At 34.5% G+C, this 11,749-nt stretch overlaps 1 long non-coding RNA gene across 1 annotated transcript in view; it reads right to left on the reverse strand.

The window, feature by feature from the left end:
- Positions 1-9,890, reverse strand: part of LOC105378313 (uncharacterized) — an 85,058-nt gene extending 75,168 nt beyond the window's left edge. Inside the window, exon 1 of the long non-coding RNA XR_001747453.1 lies at positions 9,829-9,890. This is a non-coding gene — a long non-coding RNA (uncharacterized LOC105378313). The remainder of the gene's footprint in view (positions 1-9,828) is intronic.
- Between the last annotated feature and the right edge of the window lie 1,859 nt (positions 9,891-11,749).

Genomic DNA, 11,749 nt, shown 5'->3' on the forward strand with positions numbered 1-11,749 from the left:
GGAGCTGTTTAAATCAGGGGTAGGCAAACTGCAAACTGGTAAATCTGGCCCACCACCTGTTTTTAGAAATAAAATTTTAGGGAAACACAGCCAATTTGCTGGCTGCTTTCCAGCTACAACAGTAGATTTGAGTAATTATAACAGACACCTATAGCCTGCAAAGCCAAAATTTGCTATCTGACCTTTTACAGAAAAAGTTTGATGACCCCTGGTTTAAATGTAATCGCTTCTTTAAAAAATCTCAAAGCCTAGGTAGCTTTTAAACAAAATGACTCTTTAGTAATTGAACAAAGCTATCTTGGCTGACACATGAATCATAGGAATATTGAAGAATGGCATCATAGTTTGAAATGTTAATTGAAAAATTAGCCTAAAAACCCAATTGTCTCTTCTTCGATGTAATTTCAGTGTGATGATTTACTAAAAATTATATTATAAGATTAACAAGTGACGTTTAAAATTTCTCAAGTATATTTAAAATATGATTGTATATACTTCTTTTTAGGAACACAATACTGCCTACATATAATTAAAATTCATTACAAAGAGAAGTGATGTACTGTATAATTAAATATTTAAAATGCACGTTGATATTGATATAAGCCATTGGCTTGACTGTAAGATATTAAGTCAAAGTATTGGTTGGAATAGTCTACAACTAGAATCAGGACTAAAGGATCTAACTGGACAATGGTCCTGTTACCCAAGAAAACTGATTTGTGTTTAAAAACAATACAGTAATAGGACATATTCATATGCAATTTGAGCGGATGCCATTATCAAAATGGTAGGATGTGGTAGCTAGGTATTCCACTCTAGACCAATATGTGTAATCAGGAAGGCAGGCCAGGGCAAATGAATGGAGAGCTTGGCAGAGTTAGTAATTCACATGCCTGAAACCTAGACTCAAATCTTACTCAAGTCGCTTCTTATCTGATGTTAACATGTCATTTTCCAGAACATTTCTGAACTTCGATTTCCCCCTAGGAAATCTAAAATGAGGATATGTATCTCAAAAGACAGCATATGGGGGTCATATGAGAAAAGCATGTGAAACAGTTTCATCTGTAGGAGAGCCACTTTAAAATTTGTGAATTAATTTTTATTTTTGCTCATATTGGTATTGTGACAGTAAACATTTACCCCCTAAAACAAGCTATAATATTAGCTGGGCATGGTAGGGCACACCTGTAATCCCAGCATTTTGGGAGGCCAAAGCAAGGACAGCCTGAAACCAGGAGTTTGAGACCATCCTGGGCAACATAGCAAGATCCTGTCTCTACAGAAATATTAAATAAAATAAATTGTCTATGAGTGGTGGTGTGGGCCTGTGGACTTAGCTACTTGGAAGGCTGAGGTGGAAGGATTGTTTGAGCCCAGAAGTTTGAGGCTACAGTGAGCCATGATTGTGCTTCTGCATTGCAGCCTGGGTGACAGAGCAAGACCCTGTCTCTAGGAAACACACACACACACACACACACACACACGTGCACAAACACACAAATACTATTAACATAGATTTCTAATTTTTATATTTAACTTTTTAAACATATATTTTCTTTAGAAATGTATATTTCCTTTGTATACTTGGAAGATGAAAAGGGAGGTCTTAATGGGTGACACATTACAAACAGGTCTGATGGGGGAGCTTATCTCCTCCACACTTTTTGTAGTCTCCAAAGCCCACCACAGGGCTAAACATGCCTGTTTGTGTTTGTGGCTGCCTTCATTTGCTGCCATAACCACCTTGAACATTTGCTTGATGGAGGAGTTTCTTAGGAATAATTAAGTCTTAACAACGCCACATCATAGAGGAAAGACAATATCTAAATCAGAAATGTCACCAATTTGCGTATCAAACTAAGATGCTAAACAGAAACAGGGACAGAGGATGAAAGGGGTTGGAGGGAGAGGGGGTGGAAAACAGGAAAGCCTTACAAGAGACTAGGGAAAGTAAAAAGCAAGGAAAGGCAAGCAGTTTTGAAGACAGTTCAATCATTACTGACTTTCCCCCAGGATGTTTCTTTTAGATAGAGTCCACCTCACTTGGATCAGATGGAAGTGAACTCTTTTAAAAAGTTGAACAGGGCCAGAAAGACAGTGCCTCAGAGACTTGCTTAGCAGGCCAAATAAACCTCTCTGAACACCTTCCCCTAGAGAACTATTCATAGAGAAAGTTGCCTGCCTCACCCATTAAAGCCCAGGCTTCCTGCCAGCCAGTGGAGAAGTTTATTTTCACTTACTTGTCCAGCACAGGAACACACCTGGAAGAGCTCTGCTTTCTCATAATCCTCTATATGAGGATTTCTGATAATTAAAATTTGAAAAACAGGTGATACCTTTTGGGTGAAAACCTGAAAATTATCTGTGAGCTATAAATGATGACCAAATTAATTATTATGTTTATTTATTTATAGCCATACTTTTATTTATAGCCATTATTTATAGCTATTCTTCTATTCCACCAAAAAAATCTGAAAATCATTCATTATAGAGTAAAAACAGGTATGGCAAAATACGTATGTATATATGAGATACATATATAATTTGGTATGTTATATGTATCTATTATACAAAATATAAAATATATATTACACATGTAAATCTTGCTTTTTTTTGTTTTTAGACAGAGTCTTGCTCTGTTGCCAGGCTGGAGTGCAGTGGTGCGGTCTCGGCTCACTGCAACCTCCGCCTGCGGGTTCAAGCAATTCCCCTGCCTCAGCCTCCCGAGTAGCTGGGACTAGAGGTGCGCACCACCAAGCGCAGCTAAGTTTTTGTATTTTAGTAGAGACGGGGTTTCACCACGTTGGCCAAGATGGTATCGATCTCCTGACCTCGTGATTCGCCCGCCTCAGACTCCCAATGTGCTGGTATTACAGGTATGAGCCACTGCGCCCAGCCCAAATCTCGTTTTTCTTTAGAGACCAAATTCTTAATAGAGCGGTGCCTGAAAACTTATAAACTACAATGATGACCTTGATATTTAGGATTACAATAATAATCCCTGCCATTTATATGCCCATGTGACCAGCATGCTAAAAACAATATCTAAATCAATCCAAAACTCTAGGAAGTATGCAATAATATTTGTAGCTAACAAAGAAAATAAGTAAGTTTGGTTTCCCACAAAAGTTAATATTTTATTTTATTTTTTAAAGACAGGGTCTCCCTGTGTTGCCTAGGCTAAATTCCAACCCCTGGGCTCAAACGATCCTCCATCCTTAGCCTCCCAAGTAGTTGCAACTGCAGGCATGCACCACTGCACTCAGCTCAGAAACTTATATTTTAAATCACACTGTCTAATAGCTATAATCATGATTAAGTAATGGAATTAAATTAATCAAATTCAATGTGCATATAATCATATTAAAATACCTAAAGTTAGTCTAAGTTAAGGACTGTGTCAAACTGCTAATAACATAGTATCTTGCCAGCAGCAGCATGAGTCTATCCAGATCTAACAATTTTAAATCTAGTGATCTTTCCTTGAAACTCAACTACCCATAAGAGTCAGTAGCCAGAAAAACAAATGGCTTTCTCTCCAAAAGTAAAAATAGCTTTCCTCGTGATATAGCTATAGATGGAACAGGCCTAACTGTGCTCTAATTATGAGAAATACATTTTATTTATCCTCTGGAAGTATTATTTGCTCAAGTTTTGGGGCAGTTCTCACATTTGTCTTTATGAATAGTTCTGGTATTACAAATACTTCAATTTTAGAGAAAATGTAGCTACACATTTTTACTAATGTTGTGAAGAATCAGACACTTCCAGATCCAAACCATACATTTTTGATTTTGTATTTACAAAGTGGTAAATATAAAACTACCTTAGAATGTCATATGGGAAAATATAGTATTTTCTTAGATTACGAGAATAAATCTACATATCTAAATCAGAAATGTCACCAATTTGTATATCAAGCTAAGATGCTAAACTGAAACAGGGCCAGAGGATGAAAGGGGTTTGAGGAAGATGGGGTGGAAAATAGGAAAGCCTTACAAGAGACTAGGGAAAGTAAAAAAGCAAGGAAAGGCAAGCAGTTTGGAAGATATTAGTTCTGTGAACTAATATTCTTATATTATAAAGTATTATACTATTAGTTGTGTGAACATGCAATGAAAAAAATCAGAGATTACTGTACTATTAAAAATGTTAAGCTATGAATGACAGCATAAGTAGTATAGTTCAAAAGATTAATTGAACTTCCTAATCACATATGGAATTTCATTTATGTTATGTAGCGAGAACTCTCTAACATGCACACAATTACTCAAATTTCACATAAATATATTTATACCTATTAATTCATATTCAGAATTATTGGAATATGGATGTCTTATTGCCCATCTAAAAGAGATAATGTATTAATGGTTTAGTCTCTCCAAAGAGTGTTTATTTGCAATATATATATATTTCATATTTAGAAGAGCTCCAAATTTGAATATAGATGGACTAATAATAAGGTCTTTGGCTGTACTCAGCAGTGCAAATGACACTGAGTAATTCTCACAGCTTCTGCAGAATCTACAAATGCAACCTTATTCAGATTACTAGATTAGATACCTTTGCAAATTAAATATAAGTAACAATAAGATTTTTAAAAAATGCATGGGAAGCCATTATTTTATTCTTTAAAAATTAATGAGCTCATGACAGAAAAATAGGTTAGAAGGGTCAACAGTCAATTCATGAAAAATATATAAAATAGCCCTTAAACATAACAAAAGATGTTCCACCTCATACCTAGAGAAATGAAAATTTCTATCACACATGAGATATTATTACTTATCTCTAAAATTGGTTAAATAATAAAAATTATTATAATTGTTAATGAGGCTGGGGAAACAGGTACTTTCATATAATTCTAGTAGTAATATAAATTAGAACACCCATATAAAGGAGCATTTTATAATATCTAATTAATACACTAATAAGCTTAGCTTCTGGCCCACATCTAGAAATTTTCCATGAAGATTCAACTCCAATAATATAAAAAGATATCTGCACAAAATTATTTATAGCAGGAAGATTTATAATTCCAAAATGTTGTAAACAAATTAAATGCCCAAATGTAAAAGAATAGTTGAAAAAGATGCGCTCCATCTGCATATTGGAGTATTGTCCAGCTGTAAAATAAGGAATAATATTTTCATGAGCTGAATGGAGTGATTTCCAGCTTATGTTATTAAAAAAAAGAAATATTCAAAGGAATATATATATATATATATATAGAGAGAGAGAGAGAGAGAGAGAGAGAGAGAGAGAAAGAGAGAGAGAGAGCTCTTTTGTGTAAACAAAAAGAAAAAATACATATATACAGACATACACACACAAGGAGAATAAATAAATAACTGAATCAATTACCTAGAGGGGTGAGGGGCTGGAATTAGGTGGAACAGGGTGGAAGCAGTAGAGAAAGAATAGGGGACAAATATGTGGCACCTCTCAGAATACACACTGGGGCACACTCCTATCTTTTGAAACTATGTGAATCATTCATAGTATACTACGTATATGGGAGTTTGTTTGAGTCTTTCCTTCAAATCTCATGCTGAAATGTAATCCCCAATGTTGGAAGTGGGGCTTAATGGGAAGTGTTTGGGCCATGTGGGTGAACCTCTCATGAATAGATTAATGTCCTCCCTATTGAGTGGGGGATGTTGAGTGAGTGAGGTCTGCCTCTGTAGTTTCCATGAGAGCTTCTTGTTAAGAAGAACCTGGTATCTGCTCCCCTTTCTCTCTTGTTTCCTCTCTGCCCAAGCTGGCTTCCCTTTGCCACATACCAGATTTTGAACTTTCCAGACAACAAAATCACAAACCAAATAAACCTTTTATTCCTTATAAATTACCCAGCCTCAAGTATCCCTTCATAGAAATACAAATGGACTAAGATAATGTACTCAAAAATAAGATAAATAAATTAACCAAAGTAAGACATTGGGGACCTACCCAAGTAACTTTGAGCATGTATTTCGGTTAATGCTCTTAGATGAAAGAGAAAAGCAACTTTAAAAAACATTAAATCAGAACTGGTAAACTTTTGTCTTCTTTTCTTTCACCGTTTGGGTTGTTTTTGTCATTGTTATTTTTTTTGCCACTAAATTGGGTAAGCTACTTTCTATGAACTTATGTTTGAGAAAATAAAATAAAATAATCCAGTTCCTTCACATTTATTCTTGGAATAATTTATTCAATATACATACATTTATTGAATATCTAATAAATAGTAGCTACCAGGTTATACAAACATAACTAAACAAAAATTAAGGAACAGCAAATGTATTTAGTGAGCTCAAGTTTTATTTAGAAAGACAAATGTGCAAAAAATAATTTCAGGATAGAAAATTAAATGCAACAAAAAAGAGTTATGGGAGAAATTTTCATATGTTTGTATATACTTGTGGGTGGTGGATCAAAGATATTTTCAGGAAGTAAACAAAAATCTACATACACTTTCTTAGGGGAGGATATGGTTAAACAAGGGTTTTGAAGCACTGTTTTTTCCTGAAATTAGTTAAAAGAGATACCAGCAAAGTAGCCCGATCCATGTACATAATAAATGGGTCACTGCTGAAAGGCTCATAATAAATGTAGCTGCCAGAATTTGAAATTACAAAGACAATTTTTGTAGACATTCAGCTACCTTGTGAAATTAGCATAATGCACACAAAAAGAAACATATAAATGATTTAATAATTTATATTTAAATATCTGTTAAACATTTTTATTAAATTGTCAGGACTTTGTTTGCTAGGTGATTAATGAGGGTCCTATAAATAAAAGAATGCTGTGTAAAAATACTTATAATCCATCTCTTTTGGGATGTTCATATTCAGAGAATAGACTATTACCGCTCCCATTACACAAAGATGCCTTTTAGAGGCAACTATTTTCAAATTGGTTTAATTACATTGTAGCTAATTTTAATTTGATTAGAATTTATGGCATCTATTCATTGCCTCTCAAATAAAATAAAAGACTCAATAAATGTATAATTAAATATAAAATCTTCAAAAGGAGTGAAGCAATGGACAAGAAAAGGATATTCTTTTATCTGTCACCAGACTTGAACCCATTTGTTGGCTTGCAAATGAACTGTCAGAAGGGCAAGTAAAGAAAATCTGCTTTGCATGGGTGTCACAGATTTATTGTGTGCAAAGAGTATTTGCTTTCTTCTATACAAGTCAGTGTGAGAGGTAAAGGAAAATGACTTCTTTATATTATATGCCACAGACAGTACACTGTATCATCTCACTTCAAGGGGAATTTAAGTATGGATACTCAAATTTAAGTATCATAAGTTTTAGGAGAAAAAAGTTGGTAACATTCACTCCATATTGGTTATTACATATTCTTTCCATGAAATGGCTATTATTTCCATGAAAAACTTAAGTACTGTAGTATAGGACATTCTCTTCTATATTTAAACTTAGGAAGACTGGCTTCAAAGAGTTATACAATTAACAGGGAAAGTTACTTAATTTTTTCATAAACAAGCTACATTTATCTTTGAAGATGAAGGCATCATTTCACTTGAATGGTTTTCCTATCTCTTCTGAGAATTCTTCCTCACAGGGGGAAAGTATTCTGCTCTGCAATTTTAGATTCAGGACTAGAAAGGAAGTCATTGACATAGATAGCTGAATTTCATCTCACAATCTATTCTTGATTTCTGCTGCTAGTGCTATATTATATATAATTCTATATATCATATATGTAATTCTATATATAATATTATACTGTATATTATATATTATATACTACATATATACATAATATATATTATTCTGGTCAAAAAGTTGCAAAATCACTAATTTTGTTATACCTTGTTAGAATAGTAACAAATTTTACTGGCAAAATGTGTCACTTATATCATATAACTATAGATATTAATAACCTAACACCATCTTAGTAAAATAAGTTATCTTAATTGACTAGTATTTGTGAGACTAAGTCTTCCATTTTTATCTAGTGGTATCTTTTATCAGTAATAAAATAAACTCTGTATTTCAATTTGATTACTTAAAATGTGTCACTCCTTTTGCAAAATACAATAAATTCAAAGAAATTTATTATGTGAATATTTACTCTAGTTGTAACAAATTCTAATATGATTTGACACCTGTAAGGTTTCTTTAAACATGATCATTTTCCAGAGGCCATATATTTTGACATTATATTAAATTAAAAGTGTGCCTTAGTTGGATTACTTTATAAAACACAGGCCCGCTAGCACGAGGATTTCAGAATGACTGGGTCATAGTTCCAGGTTTAATAAAATACTCATACTATCTTCTGTTAAAAGAATCTCTCCCCTGCTGGGAAACAGAGCATCTAATAACAGCAGAGCCTAAATATGCAATATGGGAAGAGCAAATTCTCCAAACAGGTTTCTGGAAGGAATGTTAAAAAGAACTAAACTTTACTTTAGTCTTTGGTTTCTTTATCTGTTATTCTATATACTAAAGAAAGAGACCTATGTGCTGGCTGCTGGTTTGGTACATAGAGTGTATTATATAGTGGGTGCTGTCACCAAAATAATAGTTCAGCAAAGCTTTTAACAGATCATTGCATTGTTCTACCACGCTAGTATTTTTCCCTAATACAGATTACATGAAAACATAAGTAGAGCCTATGATTACTCATTGTCATAACTCTTTTATCATGAAATCATTCCTTTTTCTTAGATGTTATACTGTATCTCTTGTCGGCAAGTCAGAAAATCCACAAGCCCTCAGAAAGTGGTACAAGTGGTGGTAGAGAAGTTATCCCCAAAAGATAAATGCCTGTTGTGTCCAGGGTGAAATGAGTCTGATGTAACTAACTTCTCAACACTTGGCTCGCTGTTCTCTTTGGATTACAGCACTATATTGAAGACTCTTCATTGGTAGTTGCTCCTGGCAGATAGGGTAATGAGTTGTGGCATGATCTAGATCATTCTTAATGAGAAGGTCCTCTATAGTATCGGAGTCATGTATTATATAACCCTGCCTGCCACCATGCCCCCTGCATTCATGGGACTTTTACACAGAGTAGTCAAGAAGACAGGCTGGCTAACCACCACCAGGTAAAGCATTACATTCACCTGTTTGGTAAATGACTTTTCTGTAGAGAATGGTCTGCGGTGGGAATTTGCAGGAGACACAAAATCTGCATGCTTTGTACTCACTCTCAAAGGTGTATTGATAATACCTCCTCTTAGACGTCTTTGTTGATTTTTCAATCTTGCTTGTTTTACACTCATGACCAAAAAGTCAAGCCATTCTCCACTGTCTGAGTCCATGTATGTCCTTACCTTAGACGACTTTACCCTCTATAATTGTGAAAAACAATGTGAATGGCTCACAGCAATAATCATTGGACAGATCCTTACCCATGGCATGCTATCACGAGTGACTCGTGAGAGTGGATGTGGTGTGGTAACATTCTATATTTAGCTCACATCAATATACCAGGGAAACCCATCCATTATCTAGGTCCAAGATATATTCCACTTTTGGTAGGTAGCTGTAAAGAATTCTACATGAGAACACAGATGTAGATAAGAGAGAGAAATCTGTGCAAAAGAGGCAAGTTTTATGAGTCTAGACTACATCTTCATGTAACATCTTTATAAACATTTTACTGCTCAATGTTATACAAAATGGAAACTTTCTATTATATAAAAAATTGTTATTATAGTTGCATTAACCTAATCCTTAGAGTATCTGATGTTTCCCAACATTTTATAGGCAGTTATCTTTGACTTCAGAATGATACTAGTGCCTAATAGCATACTAAGAGCACTATTTTCCATATGATAAGTAGTTTTCTGCTACATATTACCTGGCCTTGATCTGTAGTCTTTTTGAACCTCCACGAAGCATCTGTAACAGTCGTGGATATCTGCAACAAGATACAGCACTTTTAGATATTCTGAATAATATATTTTAAGTCCAGAACAGCTTATGCTGTAGTCTCTCCCCATACAGAGCCCATTGTCATCTAGGTCCCACATGAAACTGGAATCTTCCTGCATCATTAATACATTTTGGCATATACCCAGATGTAGTATATATTGTCTTTAAAATCCAAAGAAACCTACTAAATGTTATGCCTCTTATGTAGAGGCTCAAGGTGCAATAACTTGTTCTCTACTTTTGACAGAATGCTCTGATATGCTTCAGAACATTGCAGCCATGAACACTTTTTTGATGAGGCAGGATTTTTAACATTGTGATATTTTTCTCCCATATCCTGCCATGCATCTATCTTACATAGAATTGCCTGATCACTACAGCCAAGTAACTTGATCTTATCATATAATGGACTATCATAATATTCTTTAGGAAGTCAAGAGATAAAGATTCAATAGATTATATTACGACCCAAATTGTGATAATTAAGGCAGCCTAGGGCATGACGGTAAATGTTCGCTGTTGTCCTTTTCATGTAAAACAGAATTTGTTTTGATTTTCCTAAAGTATGGGGATTGAAGACAAAACATGCTACTGATCAATAACTATATATCAAGTTTAATAGGTAAAATATTAGTCAAAGCCCATACAGAGCAGTCCTTTGCAGCTACAGCTGTAATTACAGATGAGGTTGTGTTGGTGTGAGGCAGTGCAGAAAAAACATCTTACACAAAATAAAAAACTGATTGCCATTAAAATGAATGTCAATTTCTAGCTTGATGTAAGTTTTAAATTATTTTAAAACCTTTATATTAAGTGAAATATCCTATCTTGTTACTCACATTGTAAAATGATGTTAGGATGATGGCAAAGCTAAATGTGATGTATTTATATAGTGAGGATACCTCTTAAAATTTATAATGTGTCAGTCAGTACACTGGATGCCTTATATATTGTAATTCATTTAGATGTTTTACTACCCCAGTGATAAATTTCATCCTCATAGAGGTTATCTGTCAAAGTCACACAGTCATTACCTGGAAAAATCTGAGAGTCAAATCTTATCGATTCAAAAGCCACCATGCTTTCCCTTATATTACCTTTCTTCCTAGTATTTGGCATAGTTTTAGGGAATTTTATTTTCTAAAATTTGTTGTATAGGAACTGTTATTTTCATAGATAAACAACTGGAGGTGAACATAAGAATAAACATCGTAGAGTGATATAAAATTATGTAATCTAGCTTATCTAATATATTTAAATTTAATAAATAATGGTAAAATTAGCTAAAATCTTACCAGCAGCTACCTACAAGGAAAGAGGACCCTTCTAATGACAAAATTCACAAAGTAGAAGCTGAGAAATAAAATGGATTCTGGATCTGTGAAGAGCAAGGCCCTGAACTGCAACCCTAAGAATCCTATGAATCTATTATAATTATTCTCAAAAACTATTCTTACAGGTATCAATTTAGTCTGTAGAGAGGAAACTAAGTTAAAGTGCTATAGTTTCCTCCTTTCCCTCTTTGCCTGGGATGTAGACCTAGGTGGGTTTTGTGGAAAGATAGGCAAAATGGTGAAGGGCTGGTGAACACCCAGAGCTGTTGTGCAAGTTGAGACTGCAGGGCTGGATACCACAAGGATGTCTACCCATGTGATATGGTTTGGCTGTGTCCCCACCAAATCTCATCTTGAATTATAGTTTCTGTAATCCTCATATGTGATGGGAGGGACCCAGTGGGATGTAATTGAATCATGCAGGCAGTTACCCTCATGCTATTCTCATGATAGTGAGTTCTCATGGGATCTGATGGTTTTGTAAAGGGCTTTTACCCGTTTTGCTCAGCACCT

The sequence above is a fragment of the Homo sapiens genome, chromosome 10 (assembly GCF_000001405.40).
Source record: "Homo sapiens chromosome 10, GRCh38.p14 Primary Assembly".
Lineage (NCBI taxonomy): Eukaryota > Metazoa > Chordata > Mammalia > Primates > Hominidae > Homo > Homo sapiens.